Source organism: Homo sapiens, chromosome 16 (genome assembly GCF_000001405.40).
Source record: "Homo sapiens chromosome 16, GRCh38.p14 Primary Assembly".
In the NCBI taxonomy this organism is placed as follows: Eukaryota; Metazoa; Chordata; class Mammalia; order Primates; family Hominidae; genus Homo; species Homo sapiens.
The window spans coordinates 11,504,743-11,530,809 of NC_000016.10; the positions used below are offsets into that span (position 1 = coordinate 11,504,743).

Sequence of the window (26,067 nt, forward strand, 5' to 3'; positions counted from 1 at the left end):
TGAAACCTCATCTCTGCCAAAAATATAAAACTTAGCTGGGCATGGTGGCATGAGCCTGTAATTCCAGCTATTCAAGAGGCTGAGACAGGAGAATCACTTGAACTCGGGAGGCAGAGGTTACAGTGAGCCAAGATCGCACAACTGCACTCCAGCCTGGGCGAAAGAGCAAGACCCTGTCTCGAAAAAAAAAAATTGTAATAACAACTACGCCACTAGTTACTTAGTAAGGAGCTTTTACTATGTTCCAGCAACTGGTCTAAGCTGACAGAGAAGGAAAGTGACACTCAAAGTGATTGAGGCAGGGGCCGGTGGCCGCATGCTACTCAGTAGCAGAGCAGACACTTGAACCCAGGGCACCAGCTCCTGAACCCACACTCTTAACAAGCATCCTATATGCAATGGCTTAAAAAAAAAAAAAAAAGTCCTGATTTGTAGCATTTGCCGATCGTCATGGTGTAAATATACCCACCATGGTCGATTTCAAGCTACCAACTTGCAATTGCTAAGGACAGACCTGGGAAGAAATGCACCTTAGCACGTCATGTCATATTTCCACCACACAGTTACAATAAACATGACTAACCTCTAATGGAAAGACAATAGTAAAATGTAGTAAAATAACCAGGTAGTCATGGTTGGGAGTACTTAATACCTTTGTTTCTAATATAATTCATTTTATTTGATTTTTTTAATTTTTCTTTTCTTTTTTTTTTTTTTTTTTTTTTTTTTGGAGAAGAGTCTCACTCTGTCACCCAGGCTGGAGTGCAGTGGTTTGATCACAGCTCACTGTAGCCTTAACCTCCCAGGCTCAAGCCAGCCTCCTCCCTCAGCTTCCCAAGTAGCCACGACCACAGGCACGTACCACCATGCTTGGCTTATTTTTTGTAGAGATGGGCTCTCTCCCTGTGTTGCCCAGGCTGGTCTCAAACCCCTGGGGTTTAAGTGATCCACCCACCTCAGCCTCCCAAAGTGCTGTGTTTACAGGTGTGAGCCACTGTGCCCGGCCTGTTTACTTGTTGATACACAATAGATTCACATATTTTCAGGGTACCCGTGAAATAATTTGATACATTCATCTAATCAAATCAGGATAATTGCGATATCCATCACCGTAACCACCTTTTCTTTACGTTAGAAACGTTCAAATTCTTCTCTTCCAGCTATTTTTAAGTGTAGGATTATCTTAATTATAGTCATCCTAGGAATCTATTGAGTATTAGAGTCTGATTTCTTCTACTGAAGTGTATATTTGCACCCATTAGTCAGCTATGCTAAAACAACTTTATTTATTTTATTTTATTTATTTATTTTGAGATGGAGTCTCACTCTTGTCACCCAGGCTGGAGTGCAGTGGAGTGATCTCGGCTCACTGTAACCTCCGCCTCCTGGGTTCAAGCGATTCTTCTGTCTCAGCCTCCAAAGTAGCTAGGATTACAGGCTCCTGTCTAATTTTTGTATTTTTAGTAGAGACAGGGTTTCACCATGTTGGCCAGGCTGGTCTTGAACTCCTGACCTCAGGTGATCTGCCCGCCTCAGCCTCCCAAAGTGCTGGGATTATAGGCATGAGCCACTGAGCCTGGCCACAACTTAATGTTTAAAACAGCAGTGTTTAACAACCAGCCTGTGGGACATCCGGAAGTCTACTCACCCACTCTTGTGAGCCAGTATGAGCCAGTCCTGTTCTGCCACTGTCTATGCCATTTCGTGAGTGTAAACCGTCCTTAATAAACACCTGTAACTCGAGCTCCTTGTTCTCAGAACACCCAAGATTGGTGATAAGCCATGCCCTCTCCCAGGCATCCTTCCTGGCAGCCTGGAGAAGTTGGCCCTGCTGGCTCCGTCTGTCTGTCCCCTCCCAACCCCACTGCACCCTTGCTTCCTCCTCCTTTGTTCCTTAGGGACGCCCTTGGCCATCCCACCCTCTGCCCCCCACATCGAAACTCCGGGGCCTCTCTATGGAAGGCCCGACTCGGGGGTTTGCTTTCTATTGAGCGCTGAGTCCTGGTTTTGTTTCCAGACTGAAAAACAAACCTTGTCTCCTGCCCACCATCAATGGGGAGGGGCAGAGGCATTTCAAGCCGAAGCTCATGAGGTCTATCCCCCTGGCAACCCAGGCAGGCCCTCAGCCCTCCCGGGGGCCCAGGAGCTGCTTGGTGTGCACCGATGTGTCCCTGCAAAGCCATTTCTAGCAACAGGGTCCTCAGCATTTCACCCCTCAGCCCAGGGGACCTCCACGGTGGCAGTAACTTCCTTTTTTTCAATGCTGTAAGTAAAAGACAGCCGCACAGTGCCCTCTGGGGCTAGCACCGCCAGCGTCCAAAAGTGGAGATCGAGGCCCACAGCCCTTGCCCTGAGCCACCCCTGCCAGGGGAAATGTCCAGTTAGGTGGTCAGGGGTCCTCTTGGGGCCAAAGAATGCAGTGCTGTCTTCCCATCAAGCCATGAGGTTCGGCAGTGCAACGGTTAGAGCACAGGCCACAGAGCAGCGGTCCCCTACTGGTGACAAGTGTGCTCCCCAGGGCCATCTGGTTGCCACGGACTGCAGGTGGTGATGATGGTGGTATCCAGTGAGGAGAGGCCAGAGATGCTGCTAAACATCCCACATTGCACGTGACAGCCTCCCCCACACACTCCACAAAGAATGACCCAGCCCTCGGTGTCCACAGCACCCAGGGCGAGAAACCCTGCTTTGGGCCATGCTGCCTGGGTTAACAGCCCAGCTCTATCACTTGCTAGCAGTGTGGCTTTAAGCACATTTCCTAAACTCTTCAAGCTTCAGTTTCCTCATCTGTAAAATGGGCACAATGATATGAATTTCACTGAGATGATTAAATTAGATAACGCAAGTGAGGCCCCGGAGCTTATTGTCTGAGCATACACTAAGTGCTCAATTAAACTGTAAAGCCCTGGCAGGGCGCAGTGGCTCACGCCTGTAATCCCAACACCTTGGCAAGCTGAGGTGGGAGGACTGTTTGTGTCCAGAAGTTCAAGACCAGCCTGGGCAACATGGCAAAACCCCGTCTCTACAAAAAACACACAAGAATTAGCCAGGTGTGGTGGCATGCCCCTGCAGTCCCAGGTACTCTGGAGGCTGAGGTGGGAGGATCACTTGAGCCAGGGAGGTCAAGGCTGCAGTGAGCCATGATTTCACCACTATACTCCAGCCTGGGCAACAGAATGAGACCCTGTCTAAAAAAAAAATTGTAGAACATTGAATGGAAGCCCCCAAAAAGATATGTCCATGTCCTAAGCCCTGGAACTTGTAAATTTCCCTTATTTGGAAAAAGGATCTTTGCAGATGTAATTAAGTTAAGGATCTTGAGATATGATCATTCTAGATTATCTGGATGAGTCTTCAATCCAATGACACATCACTTTCCTCCCCCAGGGACTGTGCCATGCTAAACCATCTCTCTCGTGCTTTCCATCTTACATGTGGGTTCAGGGCCCTCTCTCAGAACAAGACAGATGGTGAGGAGAATCTCATCATCACAGCACAGCCTCAGGGCCTCAGATTCTTGATGATCACCAACGAAGGAACTGGCCCTAAGTCTCAAAGCCACATCCACCTCCTGACTTGAAACAGCCAGGAGTTTCGGAGGAGGCCTGGGCCATGTGTTTCTAACTTTGCTGTGGGAAGTCCTCAATGCTGAGGCTCAGATGTTGCTAGGCCTGGGAGATTAGACTGTGAGTCAAAAGGACTGTTGTGTGCTCGTAGACAGACAGAGGAGAAAAGGCTTCCCCTCTGCTCACATCCAACCTGGACTGGGGCACTGGCCTGGCACACGCCATCTAGATTTCCTTGCTTCTGCAACCAGGCACAGCTGTGCAGTGCACAACCTACCCACCCATAGGTGACAGCCCTGATATTAAATATCTGAGAGGATGGGCCAGGATATGGGCAGGAAGAGGAAGGTGTCCTAGGGACTCAGGGCCAAGAAAGACTCTGGCCTGGGGCTGGAGAAGCCACTTACCTCCAAGCTAGTGGTCTGAGCCAGGCACAGCCTCCTTACTAATGTGGCTGCGGTGGCCACCATGGCCTGGGATGGTGTCTCCTCCCACTCATACAGCAGGCTGCTTGGGGTCATGTCTTCATCGTCTCTATCATCTGGATCTGAGATGGTAAGAGGTGGATGGGATGACCATATGGGGAAATGCCAGAGTGAGCTAGAAAGCCCTCTGGGAGTCGCCCCCACCCCCTCCAGTGCTTCCTTCAGCATGTTTCAGGCAACAGGTAAGAGGGGTGTCTACGAGGGAAATCATAGCAGCGTCATTGCAAACAGCCTAAGATGGGAAGCACCTATGTACCCACCAGCAGGGGCTGGGCAAACAAACTGTGGGCCACTCACATCAGGGAACACTGAGTATCCTTTTTTTTCTTTTTTTTTTTTTTTTGAGACGGAGTCGCACTCTGTGCCCAGGCTGGAGTGCAGTGGCGCGATCTCGGCTCACTGCAAGCTCCGCCTCCTGGGTTCACGCCGTTCTCCTGCCTCGGCTTCCTGAGTAGCTGGGACTACAGGCGCCTGCCACCACGCCCGGCTAATTTTTTTGTATTTTTAGTAGAGACGGGGTTTCACCATGTTAGCCAGGATGGTCTCAATCTCCTGACCTTGTGATCCACCCACCTCGGCCTCCCAAAGTGCTGGGATTACAGGCGTGAGCCACCATGCCCAGCCAACACTGAGTATCCTTTAACAGAAACAAGTCAGCAGGACACACCCTGCCTTGTAAAGATCTCCAAGCCATCGAGTGACCAAGGCAAGATGCAGAACAATGTATGGTGCAAAAATAAAAATAGACCACTCTGTGCCTGGCACAGAGGCTCATGCCTGTAATCCCAGCACTTTGGGAGGCCAAGGTGGGTGGATCACCCGAGGTCAGGAGTTCGAGACCAGCCTGGCCAGGATGGTGAAACCTGTCTCTATTAAAAATACCAAAAATTAGCTGGGCGTGGTGGCAGGCGCCTGTAATCCCAGTTACACGGGAGGCTGAGGCAGAAGAATTGCTTGAACCTGGGAGGCTGAGGTTGCAGTGAGCTGAGATCACTCCACTGCACCCCAGCCTGGGTGACAAGAGTGAGACTCTGTCTCAAAAAAACAAAACACAACAAAACAACCAGACCACCCAAACAGACACAGTTGCCTATGTATCTGTAAGTACACAGAATTTGTCTGGAAGAGTATACTGGAAGCCAGGAATGGAGTGAGCCTCTGGAGAGGGGGGACTCATTTTAACCGTGTCCTTTTGTACCATGTCACACATCACCTTGTCAAAACAATAAATCTTAATCTCTCTCATGCATTCGTCCTGTGACTGCTTCCTAATAAAGATGGGTGATGGCAGAAACTGCCCTCTGCTCTACACACAGCCATGGTGTTAAACTTCCCTGAGCCCCGCTTGGACCCCCACATCTCAGCCAAAGACCTACCCTCGAATCCACAGTCCACACCTCCCTCAGCTTCAATGCTCCTTAGCAAAGGCGTGTGCCTTCTAGATGCTGTCCAACACCATCTGGCTGCCTGCAGGCCTGGGCACCTGCCCTCGCAGTGTGTCTAGCTCCACACAGGTGCACACATTCATCCATCTAATCCTCAGACCTCTCCTTAGCCCCCCAGGTGCCTGGGACACACAGAGGTCGTGCCTGCCCCAGGGCCTTTGCACTTCCTGTTTCCGCCCTGAATGCTCTTTCCTGCATCTTCCCAAAGCTGACCTTGTCTTATCCTTCATTACTTTCTCAGAGAGGCCCTCTTGGCGCCCCTGTCTAAGTCACTGGCTGTCATGCAGCTGTTTAATTTCTTTCCTGACATGGATCACAGTCTCAAGCCACCTTGACTAGGCTTTTTCCCCATCAATGATTTCCCCCTCCCAGGAGGGTGTCAGCCTCAGGGTGGCAGAAATGGAGTTGACCATGATCACAGGCCTGTCCCCAGAGCCCCGGCAGTGCTCAGCACACAACAGGTGCTCAGACAAGCATTTCGGGTAAGCATGAATGAAAACACACTCCTGATGACCTGCCAAGAATCTGCAAACCTAAGGAGAATTCTCCCACGACAGTTGGGAACCAGATGACTCCAACCCAGGGAGGAAGACAGGGCCAAGCCAGGGCCATCTGAGCCCAGCGCGGAACTTCAAGGAGGGATAAAGTCTCATTTCTGAGTATGCCTTTGGGATCAGGCCCTAAAGAACGGGGCCAGGATGATGTGAACCAGTGCTCACAGAGGCCACGTGCCAGGTGCTTAGCTAAAGGCAATGATGATTTTCTTTTTTTTTTTTTCAGAAGGGGTCTCACTCTGTCGCCAGGCTGGAGTGCAGTGACGCGATCACAGCTCACTGCAGCCTCGACCTTCTGGGCTCAGGTGATCCTCCCACTTCAGACTCTCAAGCAGCTGGAATTACAGACACACACCACCATGCCTGGCTAATTTTTTGTATTTTTCACAGTGATGGGGTTTCGTCACGTTGCCAGACTGGTGTCAAACTCCTGGGCTCAAGCAATCTGCTCACTTTGGCCTCCCAAGGTGCTGGGATTACAGGCTTGAGCCACTGTGCCCAGCTGACCATTTTCTGTAACTTTCCCCATAACCTATGGGGTAAGGGGTGACCTACCCGTATATTTACAGCTAAAGAAACTGAGGCACAGAGAGAAGCTATTGGCCCAAGTCACACAACATAGAGTCAGAATTTGAATCCAGTTCTGACTCCAAAGCCTCCTGGGAATGACAGTGAAAATATGAAAAAATTCCTCTGTACAATGGAATATTATTCAGCAATGAAAAAGAAAAAAATCCAATTCATGCCACAACATGGATGAACCTTAAACACCGTGCTGAGTGAAAAAGCTAGACACAAAAGGGCACACTTTATGACCCCATTTATATGAAATTCCAGAACAGGAAAATTAGAGGCAGAAAGTAGTTGAGTGGCTGCCAGGGTCTGGGAAGATGATGGCTAATGAGCACAAGGTTTCTTTTTAGAGTGATGACAATGTTCTATAGTTGACTAAGGCGGAGCACAGTGGTTCACACCTGTAATCCCAGCACTTTGGGAGGCTGCAGTAGGAGGATCACTTGAAACCAGGAGTTTGAGACCAGCCTGGGCAACATAGCAAGACCCGATTTCTACAAAAAATTTAAAAAATAGCCAGGCATGGTGGCGCACAGCTGTACTGGGGAGGCTGACACTGGGGGAACCCCTTGACCCCAGGAGGCCAAGGTACCATTGCATTCCAGCCTGGGCGACAGACCAAGACTGTCTCTTAAGTTGAAGGCTGGGCACGGTGGCTCATGTTTGTAATCCCAGCACTTTGGGAGGCCGAGGTGGGCGGATCACCTGAAGTCAGGAGTTCCAGACCACCCTGATGGTAAAACCCCATCACTACTAAAAACACAAAATAAGCTGTGCATGGTGGCACATGCCTGTAATCTCAGCTACTCAGGAGGCTGAGGCAGGAGAATTGCTTGAGCCCGGAAGGAGGAGGTTACAGTGAGCTGAGATCATGCTACTGCACTCCAGCCTGGGCAACAGAGCCAGATTCCATCTCAAAAAAATAAATAAATAAAATAATAATAATAAAGGGGCCTGGCACGGTGGCTCACGCCTGTAGTCCCAGCACTTTGGGAGGCCGAGGCAGGCAGATCAGACACCTGAGGTCAGGAGTTTGAGACCAGCCTGGCCAACATGGGGAAACCCCATCTCTACTAAAAACACAAAAATCAGCCAGGCATGGTGGTGCACACCTATAATGCCAGGTACTCAGAGGCTGAGGCAGGAGCACTGCGTGAACCTGGGAGAGGAGGTTGCAGTGGGCCAGGATCACGCCACTGGACTCCAGCCTGGGCGACAAAGCAAGCCTCCATCTCAAAATATAAAATAAAATAATAATAAAGTTGATTGTGGTGATGATGGATGTACAACTCTGAATATACTAAAAACCACTGAAGTGTACACTTTAAATGGTGAATTGTATGGTATGTGAATTCTCTCTTAATAAAGCTGTTAAAAAGGAGGAAAAAAAAAGAAATCTCATCCAACTCAGTGGGACACCACTGGGTCCTGGCAAGCCTGGATGCCCCCAGGCACAGCTAGTTTCTGTAGCTGAGGGTCGGTGTGCGGGGAGGGCAGACCAAGCTGGGATCCTAGAAGGCATCCCATGGTGCAGAGCGAAGTCGGAGAAATCCCAAGGTCCCATCTAGTGGGTTCTCCCCCAGGGGGTGCCGGGAGCCTGCCCTCCAAGGTAAACGCTATTACCAGCCAGAGCTGCAGAACACACGGCAGGGGTTCAGGTCCCAGCCCTGCCTCTCACTCACCGTGTGACCTTGGACAAGTCATTTGACCTCTTTGAGCCACAGGTCACTTATACGAAAAATTTAATCGGCGGGGTTCAACAGTTCACACCTGTAATCCTGTAATCCCAGCACTTTGGGAGGGCGAGGTGGAAGGATTATTTGAGCCCAAGAGTTCGAGACCAGCCTGGGCAACATAGTGAAACCCTGTCTCAACAACAACAACAAAAAATTAGCCAGGCATGGTGCTGTGCACCTGTAGTCCCAGTTACCTGGCGGGCTGAGGTGGGAGGATCACCTGTGCCTGGGGAGGTTGAGACTACAGTGAGCCATGATCAGACCACTGCTCTCCAGCCTGGGCAACAGAACGAGACTGTGTCTCCAAAAAAAAAAAAATTTAAAAATTTATTTATTTATTTATTTATTGAGATGGAGTCTTACTCTATCGCCCAGGCTGAAGTGCAGTGGCATGATCTTGGCTCACTGCACCTCCGCCTCCCGGGTTCAAACGATTCTCCGGCTTCAGCCTCCCGAGTAGCTGGAATTACAGGCGCCCACCACTACTTCCAACTATTTTTTGCATTTTTAGTAGAGACGGGGTTTCTCCATGTTGGCCAGGCTGGTCTCGAACTCCTGATCTCAAGTTATCCGCCTACCTCGGCCTCCCAAACCGCTGGGATTATAGGTGTGAGCCACTACATCTGGCCAAAATTTTTATTTAAATTTAACTAATTTTACCTTCCTAATGGGGTTTTGATGAGAATTAAATTAAATTAAATACACATAAAGTGCTCAGCACAGCAACTGGCCCACAGTAAATCCTTCCAAAGTCCCAGCAGTAAGAATAACCATTCTTATTTCATTATTCAGGAAGACAACTGGTTTCCAAACATGGAAAAGCAATCCTCCCCCCAGATATAGGCCTCGCTTGTTTCTTTCTGTGCAGAATTGTAGGAGGGCACCAAGTCCCAGGGAATGCTATGTGTTAGCAGGAACTTTCTGGAAAATCAGGAAACCTGAGTCAGTTTGCCCCTAAAATGGGCAGACTGAGGGGTCACTGAATTTAAGGTTGAGAAACAGAAGATTCCATCTTCACCAAGGACATCCCAGGGAAAAGGGACTCAACCAAGCCAGGGCCATTTGATCTGAGCCTCAGAAAGAGCCTGGAGAACCTTCTAGAAGTGGCTAACTCTCCTGATGATAACCATTTTCAGCAATAGGTCAGAGGTGTCCAGGCCGGGACAGAGGAACGGAACCTGGGCCTGCTTGGGCCCCTCTGGCCAGACCCCCTCATGCCACGGCCAGGGGGTGGCCACCAGGGAAGGCTGAGGTCACCTGTGCCCGCTGGATCTTGGGGCATCTCGTGCAGCAGACTGAGTGAGGAGAGGGTCCTCATCTGCACAGCGCTTGCCTTTGCAGGAAGTGGCCCCGCGGAGTCCAGCTCTGTGCAGGAGGCCTCCCTCAGCACTCCGGCCCGGAAGCTCTGGACGCAGGTCAGGCGGGAGGTCAGGCCGGGCTGCGGACCAAGAGGGGAAGGGACAGCTCAGGCCAGGATCTAGCCATCCACAGGACCCAGCTGGGACCAAGGGGAGGAGGGACGAGGGACACATCAGAGCTGTAGACCCCCCATTCCCCACTCAGCGAGGCTGGGGAGGAGACCCTGAGGGCTGCATCCCTGCGTCACCCACCCCTGGCTCGCCTGGATTGTGGCAACATCAGCCCAGGCAAAGGCACACCGGAGATGACAAGGACGAGGGGAAACAAGAAAGTCTAGCAGACAGTGACCCCCCAGGAGAGGAATGACAAAGCGTCAGTATGAAAACATTTCAAACAGCAGAGGCCCACCTCCACCTCTTAGATGCTGAGACTTTTGATAGTAAGTGAACATGAACAATGATCACTTCTCATCCTCCTGCAGATGTTTGGTATTTACAAAGCACTTGCCTCTTCAGGGAGCTAGAGACAGAGGCGGGGAGGAGGGCGTGGGGAAAAGGACAGAGGGGCGGGCGTGGTGGCTCATTCCCGTAGTTCCAGCACTTGGGGAAGCCAAGGTGGCCGGAACGCTTGAGCTCAGAAGTTCAAGATCAGCCTGGGCAACATAGCAAGACATTATCTCTACTAAAATTTTTTTTAAAAAACTAACCAGGCATAGTGGTGTGTGCCTGTAGTCCCAGCTACTTGGGAGGCTGAGGCAGGAGGATCACTTGAGCTCAGGAGTTCAAGATCAGCCTGGACAACACAGCAAGACACCATCTCTACTAAAAATCCAGAAAAAAAAAATTTAACCAGGAATGGTGCCTTGTGCCTGTAGTCCCAGCTACTCTCAAGAGGCTGAGACAGGAGGATCGCTTGAGGCCAGGAGTTGAAGGCTGCACTGAGCCATGATCACACCACTGCACTCCAGCCTGGGTGACAGAGTGGGACTCTGCCTCTAAGGAAATACATACATACGTACGTACATACATACATACATACGTACGTACATACATACATACATACGTACATACATACATAAAATAAAATAAAATTTCTTGAAGGAAAGAGGAGAAGGGAGGGGAAGGGGAAGGGAGGAGAGGAGGTAAAGGAAGGAGGACCAAGAAGAGAAGGAATTGGAAGAGAGGAGGTAAAGGAAGGAGGACCAAGAAGAGAAGGAATTGGAGGAGAGGAAATGAAGAGCTGAGGAGGGAGGAGGAAGGAGGAGGAAAAGGGAGGAGGAGGAGGAAAAGGGAGGAGGAGGAGAAAAAGGGAGGAGGAGGAGGAAAAGGGAGGAGGAGGAGGAAGAGGAAGAAGAGGAGAAGGGTCTGGGAGAGCAGCAGTCAGGGGCCCGGCCCAGCCCAGCCCAGCCCAGCCCAGCCCAGCCCAGCCCAGCCTAGCCCAGCCCAGCCCAGCCTAGCCCAGCACTTACAGCCACTCCAGGCAGGGCCTGAGAATGGAGTGATGAGCGTCCCCTGCGCAGGGAGCACCGTGCCAGGTCCTTTGTCTTGTGTAGCCAGTCCCCATGGTGCTGGTATGTGGTAGGACATCGGCCCAGGATGTCCACCTGGGCAGACAGGGTTGGGGACAGGTCAACCTTCTGGCCACCTCTACCCCCTACCCCCTTCCCATCTCCTGGCCTCACCTCATCAAAGGTCTTGGGGCTGTGGGCCCCTGGGTGGCCCTGCAGGAGGCTCAGCACAGCACGCTTCACGTTCAGCACCCAGCGTGGCTCAGTGGGATGGGGACACAGGTGGGCCACACGCCCAGAGTGCAGGATGAAGCGGAGTGGGTTACGGCCCAGGGTGGCACTGCAGGAGGGCGGACAGGGGTCAAGCGGGACCCTCCAGTGCCCCAGGCCACTTGCAGACTGCCAGAGGCCACAGCATCCCTGCCTTCCTACAGGCCAGCCCCCATGGGAAGCTCCCAGGGAACCCCACATCCCCCCACTAGATAGCCTTTGTTCCCTCTGCAGCTGGGCTCTGGGGCAGCCAACTCTGCTCTGAGCCACCCCAGCCTTTTCACCCCGGGACAAATGGACAGGTGTGTGAGACAAGTGTCAAAGAATAAAAGGCTGAGACCCCAAGAGCTGCCTGCATTCCAAAACGCCTCACTTAATCCCAAGGAGCTGAAGGCATTCTGGATGTGCCACCCCAAAATATGCCACTTGGGAATATTGCCTTTTTTGTGGACCAGTCTCGCTCTGTTGCCCAGGCTGAGCTCACTGCAGCCTCAACCTTATAGGCTTAAACGATCCTTCTGCCTCAGCCTCCCAAATGGCTGGGACCACAGACATATGGCCACCATGCCCAGCTAATTTTTAAACCTTTTGTAGAGATAGATTCCCGCTACGTTGCCCAGGCTGATCTCAAACTCCTGAGCTCAAGCAATCCTCCAGCCTCAGCCTCCAAAGCTCTGGGATTACAGGCGTAAGCCACCGCACTCCAGCCTCTTGTCTATTTTGAACCAAAGACTGTATTTGTTGAGAAACAGCAAATACGGGGAGAGGCTTTCTCTGAACTCCCCTCTTCTGCCTAAAGACAGATCCTCCAAAAGGAACCTAATTGTCATCAATGCCCTCCAGGGAGTTTCATCCACCTGGGGAGAGCAGCTCTCATCCTAAGAGAGGATGGTGCAAGTCGACACCACACCCAGACAAACTTTATCCCACACTAGCACATCTCCTGTCTCTTCTTCCAAGGGTCCCTTCCTCTTTCCTAGAAACCATCTACTCCCCTCTAACTTGTCTCGCTCCCTCCTCCCCTTTCCCCTGAAAATGGTGCATAAGCTCCCAAGTCTCAGCACTCTGGGGAGCCTTCACTCTTTCATTCCACGATGCCCCTGTGCATATAAAAAAATCTATCTACCTCTTCTCCTAATGTCAGTTTATTTCTAGACACAGCTATTGAACCCAGGAAGGTAGAGGGAGTCTTTCCCTCCCCTACAGATCCCACCAGGGAGGTAATTATCATCCCTCCACCCACATTCTGGATGAGGAAACAGGCTCGGAGCAATGTAGTGTTTTGCTCGGGGCTCCAGCTGGGATTTGAACCCAGCCAGGCTGGCTGTGGAGTCACAGGCTGCAGAAACCCCGAACTGGAAGTGACTTGAGACTGTCATTGTTGAGACAAGGAAATGAGGTCCCGAGACGGGGGCCTTCTTGGGGGATATCACACAGCAAGTCAGGGAAGGAGCTGGCACCAGAATTCAGCCCCGTGCTCCTCCCGCCTGCCCTTCCCCTGGCAGAAAGGTGCCTGGGTCTGGTATCTGCAGAGTGAAGGGACGGGGAAGTGAAGGGGTGGGAAGTGAGGGGTGATGGAGTCCTCCTTCCCTGGGTGGAGTTGGAAGACAGAGATGCTTCAAGATGAAAGGGAAACTGCCAAGTCCCCAGACCCTACAGGCTAGCAAGACAAAACCCTGGGGAACAGATATGTTACCACTTCTACCTTCCAGGGGGGCAGCGGTCACTCTCCAGCTCCAACTGAAGCCTGGAGGTCTTCCTAAGGCAGTCCCCTGGGTCTCAGGCCTTGATGGAGAGAAATGCTAATGGCGCCCACCACTCCCAGAATAGCAAGTGGCAGTGTGGCCTCCAGGAAGTGACAACCCCTGGCCCCGCTGACTTAGCATTTCTGATGAGGAGCTGGGGGACAATAGTCCCCTTGGAGGAGACCCTCCCCTTGCCTTTCAGTGAGGATCTATCTGTCCCTCAGCAGCATCCCCCATCCTGGTATCCCTAGACAAAGGCTTTCTTTCTTAACAAATGAATTTGCAATAAAAACGGAAGAGGAATCTGCAGAGAAGGAGTTGTCTTCAGGCTGGCGGCTGCTCTGAGCTTTGAGGCCACCGAGGCCCTGTCAGGGAGGCCTGGGAAACAAGCCACAGGGAGAATCCCAGGCTTGGCTGGGTCACAAAAGAGGGGCTTAGCTTGGGGTGGGAGAGGATGGGGTCTCGGCAGAGTCGGGGAGGGGAAAAGGCAGACCTCCATGGGCCCGGCAGTCCCATTAGCCGGAGTCTTCCAGAACACACTCAACAACAATGCCCAAGGGGTGATCGGCAGGTGTGAAATCTGGACATGCTGGGGGTCACAGGCAGAACTACGGGATGAGTTCCTCCCACCAGGTAAGAGAAGAGCACCTGCGGCTATCTGGAGTCACCCAAGGCTTCTACATGAAGGCAGCCCCCCAGCGGTCTTCATCGGTGCTTGACAAGGTCAAAACAAATACAGAAACTTCTTTGAACTTCAGTCCAAGATGGCATCTCTTTGCTACAGAGAGGTCACCCTAACCAATTGTCCTAATCTAATTCAGTGCACCCAGAGCCCGACAGCTGTTGAAAGACGGCAGAGGGCTCACAGCTCCAGCCCCATCGTGAGCAGGTCCCAGCCCCATGGCCAAGTGTCTTACCTCAGGCTCTCCGACTCCTTCAGAAGCTCCACCTTGGCCCCCAGGATGGATGTCACCTGGAAGTCTTGGAGCTGAAGCACAAAGCACCGTGAGTTGGTGACCTCTCCTGTGATACCCCGGGAACTCGCCAGCACCCCACCCACAAAGCAGTTCTAGGGCCCTGCAGGATACATGAACCCATGTTGGGGGCAAGGCAGAGAGACCCCTCCCTTGACCAGGTACCAAGCCTGGGTGGTGAAGGCCGAATGTCTCACTGAAATAATCAAGTACCTACAGCTCCCTGCTAAACGTCTGGAAAGTTCTCATTTTGCCCAAAAAGACGCTGGAAGTTTGGTTGAGGGATTCATAGGACTATATAGCACCAACAAGAATATGTTACATTGTAGAGCAGACAAAGGCTTTGCCCATGATGAGGACTTGGATATCCCACTGTCACCATGGGGTGTGTGTGGTGGATGAGTGGAGGGTGGGGAGGGGGTTGCAAAAGAAGGTAGACTTTCTAAAAATGGAAAATATCCTCCCTAAATAACTGATTTCACTGTTTAAATTTAATAGAGCCGGTCACAGTGGCTCACACCTGTAATCCCAGCACTTTGGGAGGGCAAGGCAGGCGGATCACTTGAGGTCAAGACTTCAAGACCAGCCTGGCCAACATGGTGGAACCCCATCTCTATTTTTTAAAATAAATAAACAATAATTTTTTTAAAGGATGAAGTTCTGCTACATCCTACAATAGAGAGGAACCTTGAAAATGTTATGTTAAATGAAAGAAGCCAGACACAAAAAGTCACGTATTATGTGACTCCACTTTTTTTTTTTTTTTGAGATGGAGTTTTGCTCTTGTTTTCCAGGCTGGAGTGCAATGGCGCGATCTTGGCTCACAGCAACCTCCATCTCCCGGGTTCAAGCCATTCTCCTGCCTCAGCCTCCTGAGTAGCTGGGATTACAGGCATGCACCACCACGCCCACCTAATTTTGTATTTAGTAGAGACAGGGTTTTTCCATGTTGGTCAGGCTGGTCTCGAACTCCAGACCTCAGGTGATCCACCCGCCTCGGCCTCCCAATGAGCTGGGATTACAGGCATGAGCCACCGCGCCCGGCCTATGTGAGTCCACTTATATGAGGTACCTAAAAACAGGCAAGTTCATAGAGACAGAAAGCAGAACAGAGGGGACTAGAGTCTGCAGGGTGGGAATTGGAAGTTACTGTTCAATGTGCACAGAGCTTCTGTTTAGGATGATGAAAAAGTTCTAGAGATGGAGGGTGGTGATGGTTGTACAACGATGTGAAAGTACTTAATGCCACTGAATCATAGACTTAAGATGGTTGAAATGGTGTATTCCATATTATATTTTAATCACAGTAAAAAAATAAAAATAAACCAGACACAAAGGAAAACATCCTGTACAATTCCATTAGAGAGAAGTTCAAAGACAGGCAAAACTCATCTATGGTGATAGAAATAAAAAAGGAAGGCTGGGCATAGTGGCTCACGCCTGTAATCCCAGCACTTTGGGAGGCCGAGGTGGGCAGATCACTTGAGGTCAGGAGTTCAAGACCAGCTTGGCCAACATGGTAAAATCTCATCTCTACTAAAAGTACAAAAATTAGCCAGGCGTGGCGGAGCGCACCATGCACTACCAGTAATCTCAGCTACTCAGGAGGCTGACGCAGGAGAATCGCTTGAACTGGGGAGGCGGAGATTGCAATGAGCTGAGATTGTGCTATTGCACGCCAGCCTGGGCGACAGAGTGAGACTCCATCAAAAAAAAAAAAAAAAAAAAAAAAAAAGTTGTACCCTTGGGAGAAGTGACCAAGAGGAAGTATGAAGGAGGCTCTGGGGGTTATATTTTGTTTCTTGCTCTGGTGATCGCTACGTAGGTGTTTGGTTTATGAAAATTCCTTGTTTTGAAGATTTGTGATTTTTACACTTTTTTCTCTAAAAATATATTCATTAACCTCCCAAGGGGCCAGAAAATTTCCATTTTCACCTAGAATCTTTGAAATACACTGGTTCTTTATATCCTTGCCAACATTTGACATTGGCAGCTTTTCTTAAGTGCTTAAAGTAAACAAATGAATAAAACTGCAACAGAACACAATTTGCTTTGTGAAAACTGGCCCTGCAGATAAAAACAACCACAAGTGTTTTGAAGGGTGTAAAAGGATGATAAAGATTAATAAAGCAGCATCTCTGACATATTGGACACTTTAAGAATTCAGAGGCAGCTCAGGCCCACTCCATGAAAGACCTCATCCTGTGGTCTACATGAAAATACAACAAAACGGCTTTGAGAAACTCTTGCTAGCAAGTGCTCCAGCCAGTACAAAAATGCATCACAATATGAGATGAGACTCCAACAGAAACTAAAAGGCCTTTTATGTGGGTTGAGAGGGTTTATCCAGGAAAAATATGAGGGTTATCAGAAATGAGACAGAGGCAAATGAGCAAGCACTTCTGCTTGCAAGAACATTGAGGAACTTCCAGAAAATCTCAATGAAAAGAAATCTGCAACCACCAAGTGGGCCTAGCTCATAATTCTGCCTTAACCCAGGACTAACACCACTGGACCTTAGTGTTTGCCTATAACCTGAGGCTGTGGACCCAAGCACTGCAAGGCTAGTGTCCACAGGGCAGGCCTTGCTGGGAATAGACTTCCACCCAGTCTATTCCTTTGTCCAAAGGCTTGACTTGGTTTGACTTTGCACACACCCTTGGACTTGCAGACATGGCTCTCAGTCCACCCCTAGGGCACAGTATGTCCCCGTTCTATGGCTCTTCTCACTCCACGAACTCCCCCAACCTGCCCTAAAAATATTCCTTCCTTAACCTCTGCTATTCCCCGATTGGGCCCTCTGTGGCACCTCTTACAATCAAAATTGCACCATTTTCCCACATTCCTCCCAAGGGTCCTCACTTGCCAAATATAAGATTCCTCAGAAAGCTCCTCTGTTGATTAAGCAAATTGGAAATTGGAGGTAAGGGGCTGTGGCTTCCTCTTAGTCCTCCCCAGCATCAACGTGATCTCCCGGTTGCCCAAAGACACTCACCCATAAAGCCATCTGGCACAGGCCAAGCACATCAAGGACAGCCAAGCCTTGGAGGCCAAGACCACTCCCCTCCACCAGGACGTCCTGCAGGCTGGTGCTGGTGTTGGTGGAAAAATGATAGGTGTATCTGGTGCCCACAGGGAGGTGGGGCCCAGCTGACCCTGAAGGGCAGAGAGAGAGACAGCAATGTCACCTTGAACCTGCAGCCCTCTGGGATCCCAACTCCACCTCCAGCCATCCTTGCTCACACCTCTCTCTCTCCATCTGGGCCCTGAGCTGCCTGTCCCCAGCTTGGGGAAAGGTTGGGTAGCTGCATACCCTCATAAGGGTGAAAAAGAAAATAAAGATAATAACAGTAAGTGCTCAATAAGTACTAGCCAGTGTCATCATGGGCCAGGCTTTCTTCTAATATCAAGGTTTCTCTGCCTGGGCACTATTAATAGTTGGGGCCAGGGAATTCTGTTTGTGAGGGCTGTCCTCTGTGTTGTCAGGAAATTTACCAGCATCCCTGACCTTTACCCACAAGATGCCAGTAACCCAGCCCAGTTGTGACAACCAAAAATGTCCCCAGACTTTGCAAAATGTCCCCAGGGGAGGGAGGGCCACAATCACCCCAGTTGAGAAGCATTCATCTACAGTAACTCAGTTAAGCTTCATAACCAACTTTGAGGTGAATACTCTTTTTTCTCCATTTTACAGAGGAAGAAACTGAGGCTCAGAGAGGTTAACTAACTTACACAATCCGCAGCTGGGATTCCACCCTTGGGAGTCTGACTACTCACCTATCATCTTGATGGATATCAAGTGGGGCTGGCAGGGGTTAGGGTGGGTTGTTATTCTGATCTTTATAGAAGATAAAGCTGTAAAGCTGCCCAGCCTTGGGGGATCTGGGGGTGAGGAGAGTAACTGCTCTGGGGAAGAGCTGATTTAGGGAACAGAGAGGTCTGTAATTATCCAGCCAAATCTCTAACCTTCTATTGAGGCCAGGGGATCAAGCGTGAAACCTAATTATAACATCTCACCCCTCCCCATGGCTTGTGATTGAACTGACATTTTCATGTCAATTTCCTTGAGACAGAACCACACCTCATATTCCTAAGATGCTTCTCTCTTTCCAAAGAATTTGTTCCCAAGGTTCTTTCATCTGCTCCACTCCAAAATGCAAATGGCATCACCTGGCCAAAGACATTTATTCCACCTGGGGCCCACAGGCATGAAGAGGAAGCCTTGGGGGCTGGGATGGCTTAAGGCATTTTACTCTGAGCTTGCTATTCATTTCTCTAACTCTGTGGGTGACCTTTCCAGAACTGGCCTTGGTCCTCCCAACTGGTATCTTTGGGAGCATAGTCAGGGCCCTCTGGGGCTGTCTCTAATCCCATCTTACAGCTTCACTCCCATTGGGCCCTGTACTGGGCTCAGGCTCCTGGTCACCAGAGGTGTGATCAGGCGTCCTGAGAGAATCACTCACCTGTGCACGCAGTCATGCAGGAGGCCACCTGCCCCACCTGCGAATCTGGAATTTCTGAAATCGCAAATCAGATGGAACCAGGGTGAGGCCAGAAAGAGGCATAAGATAGCCCCACGCTATGGGCCACTGACCTTACTCTGGGAAGAAGATGAGAAATGATAATGCCAGCTCTCCCCAGACTTTGCAAAATGTCCTCAGGGGAGGGAGGGCCACAAAGACTGGAAGTGATTGCCCTACCCTTTGTCCAATTTGCTCTTGTTCATCTTGGGTACTGGCACCATCATCCCTGATAGCTCAAGCTGCCAATCATTCGTGCTTCCACATCCCTCATCACTACCTGAGTCCAATATGTCAGCAAGCTCTGCCAATTCCATCAACAAATACAGGTCTCCATTCCTCCCATCCATCAATCCATCTACCCATCCCCACTCCCATCCATCCACCCACCTGCTCCCTGCTCCTATCCATCCATTCATCCATCCAACCACCCCCACCCCCACTCCTATCCACCCACCCCCAATTCCCCTATCCATCCACCCACCCGCTCCCCTCTCCTATCCATCTATCTGCCCACTCCCCACACCCCTCCTATACACCCACCCCCAACCCCCCTCCTACGCATCCATTCACCCACTCCCCCTCCCATCCATCCACCCACCCCCAGCCCCCCTCCTATCCATCCATCCACGCATCACTTCCACCTCCTATCCATCCACCCACCCCCCCATCCGTCCATCCACCCCCCAACCCCCCAATCCATCCATCCACCCACCCACTACCCTCTCCTATCCATCCATCCACCTACTCACCCATTCCCCCTCCTATCCATCTACCCACTCACCCACTCCCTCTCCTATCCATCCATCCACCCACCCACTCCCCGCTGTTATCCATGCATCCATCCATTCACCCACTCTCCCTCCTATCCATCCATCCACCCAGCCACCCACCCTCTCCTGTCTCCTATCCATCCAAGTGACTTGCCCAGGTGCACACAGCTGGCTAACGGTGGAGCCTTAGGATTTGAACCCAGGCACTCTGGCTCCAGAGTCCCCAGCCATACCCTCATCCTGAATGAATCAGACAGTAAGTGAGCAAATGAGTAATGAATGGAACACCAGCAAGACCAAGAGGCTGCTGCAGGAAATAGCAGGAGCTGGTGCTGCTCCCTGTTGAGTGTCTCCCTTCTCCCACCATCGAAGGGGCAGAGGACAACCAGGGCATGAGCAGATGTGGTGAGGTGGCCCCTCGGCCCCCAGCTCAGGCTGCTAAGAAAACTGCCAGAGATTCCTGGAGCTCCCTCCCTGGGAAGGCCAGCACCCCTCCCTCCCTCCCTCCAGCCACCCAGCCCTTCCACTGCCACCTACTTTCAAACCTCGTTTCCCCTTCCTGCCAGCCACTTGCAGGATCTTTCCCAGGCATCACCCGTGCCCTCCTATGCATTAAGCAGGCATTCATCTGCAGCCATTTCCATAGGATGGCATTTCAATAATACCACTTCCATCCTCAAAACCACCCCGCTGCACCTCGACTGGTCATTGCTACACTTGCTGACCTGTTTAATCCCTCGAAAAACACATTGTGCCTGGGTACGGTGGCTCATGCCTGTAATCCCAGTACTTTGGGAAGCTGAGGTGGGTGATGGCTTGAGCTCAGGAGTTCGAGACCAGCCTGGCCAGCATGGCGAAACCCCCTCTCTATAAAAAATACAAAAATTAGCCGGGCGTGGTGGTGCACACCTGTGGTCCCAGCTACTCGTGGGAGGTGGGAGAATTGCTTGAGCCGACAGGTGGAGATTGCAGTGAGCCGAGATCGCACCACTGCCTGGTGCGATCGTATTCCAGCCTGGGTAGCAGAGTTAAGACCTTGTCCCAAAAAAAAAAAAAAAAGGAAAAACAAATCATTTCCCCAAAACGGGGAGGGGTGGAGGTAGGGTGCATTATATACTATTTTGTTTACACCCTTTAAAACATTGGACATGGTAAGATATCTGGCAGGGTTTTTTTCTCCTAAATATTTTGGCACATCTAACAAAACCCTCTTTGCATTCAAGTAGAATATCAACAGATAAAACCACATTTCAAAGACATTCAACCCAATCAATTTCCCTTCCAACTTTCCTTCAACTCTTTGATCACTCGGACACTGGGCACCAAATTAAACATATGTGTGCGTAATCATTACGTTCTCGATTGTGCACAAGCCCAGCATCCTGCTTGTTTGCTCAACAGACAATCCCTACATCTGCTTCACTGCTCAGCTAGGCTACAAAGCAGCCTGGCCCACCAGCCTCCAGCCACCATGACCTGCAGAAGTGAGCTGAGGTCTGAGAGCATTGTGCTTGAATTAAGCCTGTACCCCTTCCATTTCCTGAACGCTTGAACACATTTAAAATATTTTTTAAATTTCAGAAAAATGAAGTTCATGTCATGATAAATTCTTAACAGATTAACCAAGGATGGGAAAACACTGCACACTGGAGGTAATAAATTCTTCAATCAGATCCTACTCACTTCCAGGAAGAGATCTGAAATGGACTGAAATGAGTGTCATCTCTAGCCAGCAAATGAAATCAAGTCCCATTTCAGCTTTCTCAGCTGTCAATTCTGATCAGTGTGCATTCTTTTATGAAACCAACACAATTTACCAAGTACCTATAGCATGCCAGACAGTGTTCTATGCTGAAATAAAAGCCCAAATATCAAAACAATTACATCATTTACAACAAATAAAAGACCCCACAATCTGGCCCGCGCTCTCCAGTATGTGGCTATGAAGCATCTAAAATGTTACTGGTTACAGAGAAACTTTTCATTTAATTTTAATTAAACAAAAAACCAATACTCAATTCACTTATTATAAGACTTTCAGCCTGGTGCAGTGGCTCATGCCTGTAATCCCAGCACTCTGGGAGGATCACTTGAGTTTGAGACCAGCCTGGGCAACATGGTGAAACCCCGTCTCCACAAAAAATATTTTTTAAAGAAAGAAAACTTTCAAATATGTTTGAAACAACTTGGCACAGTAGGTAAACCTACTTTCTCAACTCTAAGTTTTAAGAAATCTAAAGACAGATCAAGTATTTGCAATGAAAACTTAGCATCTGAATTGAAATATGTCGTAAGTATAAAATACACATTAAATGTTGAATGGGAAATAAATCTCATTAATACTTCCTATTGATTACATTTTCTAATTATATATTGGATATATTGGGTTAAGTAAAATGTTATTAATTTCACCTGCCTTTTTAAAAATTTGTATGTGTGGGTACTAGGAAAATTAATATTACTTGCATTTTTTTGTTGCTGAGACAATGTCTCACTCTGTCGCCCAAGTTGGAGTGCAGTGGCATGATCTCGGCTCACTGCAGCCTCGACCTGCTGGGCTCAAGCTCAGTGGGTCCAGAAGGCAGCATTTTCTCACTCAGGGCTTCAGATCTGGTCTCTGCAGCTCCCCAATCCCTGCCTTGTCTGAGTTTCCAGAGGATGCTGGTGGAGCATGTGAGTGAGAGATGAGGATTCACCTGTCATCTCTCGCTCCTCTTCCCCATGAAAAGCAAAACAAAAGGTGGCAGCGGAAAGGCAGGTCAACAGGCATCTGGCTACAAAAGCGCAATCCCCGGCGCATCTGGACTGCCCCTTGCTTCGCTCCAGACAGGACCAGGAACGCGCAGCAGTTTTACTTACTCTCCGCAGTCACTGCCATCAGCGGCCAGAGCAGGACCAGACCGAGGAGTCCCACGGGGGCCGGCATCACTTCCTGGGCCAGCCCCGTGCCACCAGCCTCAGGCTCCAGAGCAGCTCAGCGTGGTCCTGAAAGGAATCTTTTTCCCCAAAGAGGAGGGCTCAGCTTTAACCCACTCTCCCAGCCCAGGAGGGTAGAAGGGGAGGTGGGGGGCATTCAGAACAGAGATCCAGCCAGTCAGAAGCCTCCAATAAAGTTATTAGCACCCCGCCCGACAGAGAGGAGGGGAGGGGGCTCCTGACCAATGAGGGGAAAAAAAGCCTAGAGGGGAAAAAAAAGGAGCTTGACTACTCTCCTAGCCTTGTAAACAGAGATCTCAGGTCAGAAGGCAAGACGGTGTAGTGGTTGTTTCTTTTTAATTGCAGTATAATTATATTTTAAAAACATAAAACTGACCATTTTAACCATTTCATTTATTTTAAAAGACAGGGTCTCAGCTGGGCGCGGTGGCTCACGCTTGTAATTCCAACACTTTGGGAGGTCGAGGCGGGCAGATCACGAGGTCAGGAGTTTGAGACCAGCCTGGCCAACACAGTGAGACCCCATCTCTACAAAAAATTTAAAAATTATCTGGGCATGGTGGCGAGTGCCTGTAATCCCGGCTACTCGGGAGGTGGAGGCAGGAGAATCGCTTGAACCCGGGAGGCAGAGTTTGCAGTGAGCCAAGATCGCGCCACTGCACTCCAGCACTGCACTCTGGGCAAAAGAGCTAGATTCCGTCTCAACAAACAACAACAACAACAAGGTCTCAATCCGTCACCAAGGCTGGAGTACAGTGGTGTGGTCATGGCTCACTGCAGCCTACACCTCCCGGGCTCAAGCAATCCTCTTGCCTCAGCCTCCCAAGTAGCTGGGACTACAGGCACTGTGCCACCACGCCCACCTCATTCTTGTATTTTTTGTAGAGACGGAGTTTCACTACGTTGCCCAGGCTGGTCTTAAACTCCTGGGCTCAAGCGATCCACCTGCCTCAGCCTCCCAAAGTGCTAAGATTACAGGCATGAGCCACGGCACCCGGCCCATTTTAACCACTTTTAAGTATTCAGTTGAGTGGCGTCGTGTCCACTCATGACATTGCGCAACCATCACTACTGTCTAGTTGTGTAGTCTGACATTGGGTTTGTCTTTCCCAGTGCTCAGGTTAGGAAAAGCCAACGGGAGGCCTGACTTAGCAAGGCCTTTGGAAATGGCTCTTATCACAGCAGCAGCGGGTTTTTCAAAGCTCCAGGTTTAAGGCCTCCCAAGAGGACAAGGAAGTAATTCGGGAGGCCAGAGGTCTGCTCACACCTGCTCAGCGTTCATTCTAGGTCCCACATCTCTGCCTCTCTCCCTCAAACTCACCTCCACCCACACCTTTTGGTTTTCAAGGTGTGATTTTTGTTTGTTTGTTTTTGTTTTGTTTTGTTTTTTAAAGATGGGCTCTCACTCTGTTGCCCACGCTGGAGTGCAGTGGTGTGATCGTAGCTCACTGCAGCCTCAACCTCCTGGGCTCAAGTGATCCTCCCACCTCAGCCTCCCAAGTAGCTGGGTCTACTTGACTCAATTCTCCCATTTAAAGCACAAAACTCAACTGGCGCGGCAGCTCATGCCTGTAATCCCAGCACTTTGGGAGGCCGAGATGGGTGGATCACAAGATCAGGAGTTCAAGACCAGCCTGGCCAACATGGTGAAACCCTGTCTCTACTAAAAATACAAAAATTAGCAGGGCACGGTGGCATGTGCCTGTAATCCCAGCACTTTGGGAGGCTGAGGCGAGTGGATCACTTGAGGCCAGGAGTTCAAGACCAGCCTGGACAACATGGTGAAAACCCGTCTCAACTAAAAGTACAAAAAATTAGCTGGGCATGGTGGTGCCTGTAATCCCAGCTACTTGGGAGGCTGAGGCGGGAGAATCACTTGAACCCAGGAGGCAGAGGTTGCAGTGAGCCGAGATTGTGCCACTGCACTCCAGCCTGGGTGACAGAGTGAGACTCCATTTCAAAAAAATAAATTAATTAAATTAAAATAAAGCATACAACTCAATGGTTTTTAAGATAGTAAGGGAGTTTGGCAATCATTACCACAACCAATTTCATAATTTCCTCACTGCAAAAAGAAATCCCATACCTAGTAAACAATCACCTCTGGTGCCTCTGACCCCAGTCCTTGGCCACCACTGATCTGCTTTGTGTCCTTATGGATTTGTCTATTCTGGACATTTCACATAAATGGAATGGTTTAGTAGGTGGCCTTTGTCTGGCTTCTTTCACTCAGCATGACAGTTTTGGGGCTCAGCCACGAAACGTGAAATAGTGTGTCATTCCTTTCCGTGGCTGAATAATGCACTGAAAGGATAGACCACTTTCTATGTAGCCATTTATCTCGTGATGGACAGTTAAATGTACTTTTAATGGAATTTTCTTAGAGTCAAATTAAGACACAGTTGACTGGTTGGCACACCATGTTTTATGAAAACTTAATCATTTATGCTTTTAGACTTGGCCCATTTTCTTTTCATATTTTGAAATCAATGATTCTACCTCCCTTTTCCCAAGCTCAAGCATTTTCCTTTATTTTCTTTTTTTGAGACGGAGTTTCGCTCTTGTTGCCCAGGCTAGAGTGCAATGGCGCAACCTCGGCTCACTGCAACCACCACCTCTCAAGTTCAAAGCGATTTTCCTGCCTCAGCCTCCCGAGTAGCTGGGACTACAGGCATGTGCCGCCACGCCTGGCTAATTTTGTGTATTTTTAGTAGAGCTGGGGTTTCACTATGTTGGCCAGCCTGGTCTCGAACTCCTGGCCTCAGGTGATCCACCTGCCTCGGCCTCCCAAAGTGCTGGGATTACAGGCATGAGCCACTGAGCCTGGCCCCCAGCTCAAGCATTTTCTCTAGCAGGGTTCAGGAGCACCTGACCCACAGGGATAAAGACCTAAAAGACCCTTCAGCTCACAGCTGCTTGGGGACTACGATGGGTTCGGGCGTGGCTGCCAAATGCTGTGGGGAAGAGCATCCTGGGGGGCGAGTGGGGGGGTGCTGGCTTGGAGGAGTCAGTGGGGAAACGAGATGCACAGGCAGAAGATCTTCAGCACACCACAGACAGACCTCACGCAGAGAAAGGAACAGTTATTCTGGCAGGAACTCGTGGAAGCAGTTTACAAAGGAGAGATTTCCCTGGATCTCAAAGAATAGATGGCATTGTTGTTAGGAAACTATCAGACTAGGCAAAGCATTCCTTGTATATTGACTCATTCATCAACTTCTCCTGCAAAATCCCTGCAAGGTGAACTAGGTCATCCCATGGTACAGATGAGGAAACAGAGATACAGAGAGGTTAAGACACTTGCCCTAAGTCACACAGCTCAGGAGGATTTTAACCCCATCTGGCTCCAGAGTCCCTGCTCTGTTAGCTCTGGCAGCTTTGGTCCATCACTTTCTTTCTCCGTCTTCTCCCCCAGGAGACTCAAGTCTCTGACCACAGGCCTGAATTCCTCCCCCATTCAAAGTCAGGAGCCTGAGCAGAGACCTTGCAATTCTCAATGCGATGGCTTCTCGCCAATCACAGTGGGTATTGGCTACAAATGCAGATTCCCAGGCCCATTCCAGACCAGGACAATCAGACTCCCTAGGGTGGGGCCCTCCCTCCAGGCCATTCTGATGACCAGC

At 50.0% G+C, this 26,067-nt stretch overlaps 1 protein-coding gene across 3 annotated transcripts in view, besides 4 other annotated features; it reads right to left on the reverse strand.

Moving 5' to 3' along the window:
- Positions 1 to 22,835, reverse strand: part of LOC400499 (putative uncharacterized protein) — a 155,563-nt gene extending 132,728 nt beyond the window's left edge. For 2 of the 3 annotated variants that reach the window (NM_001395505.1, NM_001370704.1), the window contains exons 1-8: positions 22,367 to 22,505; positions 18,678 to 18,731; positions 17,210 to 17,370; positions 14,158 to 14,228; positions 11,400 to 11,565; positions 11,187 to 11,321; positions 9,617 to 9,797; positions 3,974 to 4,113 (exon numbers count right to left, since the gene is read on the reverse strand). In NM_001395505.1, the coding sequence (NP_001382434.1) occupies positions 3,974 to 4,113; positions 9,617 to 9,797; positions 11,187 to 11,321; positions 11,400 to 11,565; positions 14,158 to 14,228; positions 17,210 to 17,370; positions 18,678 to 18,731; positions 22,367 to 22,433 (975 nt within the window). In that variant the 5' untranslated portion in view covers positions 22,434 to 22,505. Of the gene's footprint in view, positions 1 to 3,973; positions 4,114 to 9,616; positions 9,798 to 11,186; positions 11,322 to 11,399; positions 11,566 to 14,157; positions 14,229 to 17,209; positions 17,371 to 18,677; positions 18,732 to 22,366 lie in introns of all 3 variants that reach the window. The other variant, XM_047434105.1, reaches the window with a different exon arrangement.
- Positions 11,461 to 11,989: an enhancer, noted in NCBI's record as "H3K4me1 hESC enhancer chr16:11610059-11610587 (GRCh37/hg19 assembly coordinates)". NCBI's record gives its function as "activates a minimal SCP1, AML or CMV promoter by ChIP-STARR-seq in naive H9 embryonic stem cells {active_cell/tissue: H9 hESC(naive)}" and the evidence as "EXISTENCE:reporter gene assay evidence [ECO:0000049][PMID:30033119]".
- Positions 13,541 to 14,040: an enhancer, noted in NCBI's record as "H3K4me1 hESC enhancer chr16:11612139-11612638 (GRCh37/hg19 assembly coordinates)". NCBI's record gives its function as "activates a minimal SCP1, AML or CMV promoter by ChIP-STARR-seq in primed H9 embryonic stem cells {active_cell/tissue: H9 hESC(primed)}" and the evidence as "EXISTENCE:reporter gene assay evidence [ECO:0000049][PMID:30033119]".
- Positions 21,834 to 22,768: an enhancer, noted in NCBI's record as "H3K4me1 hESC enhancer chr16:11620432-11621366 (GRCh37/hg19 assembly coordinates)". NCBI's record gives its function as "activates a minimal SCP1, AML or CMV promoter by ChIP-STARR-seq in primed H9 embryonic stem cells {active_cell/tissue: H9 hESC(primed)}" and the evidence as "EXISTENCE:reporter gene assay evidence [ECO:0000049][PMID:30033119]".
- Positions 22,769 to 23,702: an enhancer, noted in NCBI's record as "H3K4me1 hESC enhancer chr16:11621367-11622300 (GRCh37/hg19 assembly coordinates)". NCBI's record gives its function as "activates a minimal SCP1, AML or CMV promoter by ChIP-STARR-seq in primed H9 embryonic stem cells {active_cell/tissue: H9 hESC(primed)}" and the evidence as "EXISTENCE:reporter gene assay evidence [ECO:0000049][PMID:30033119]".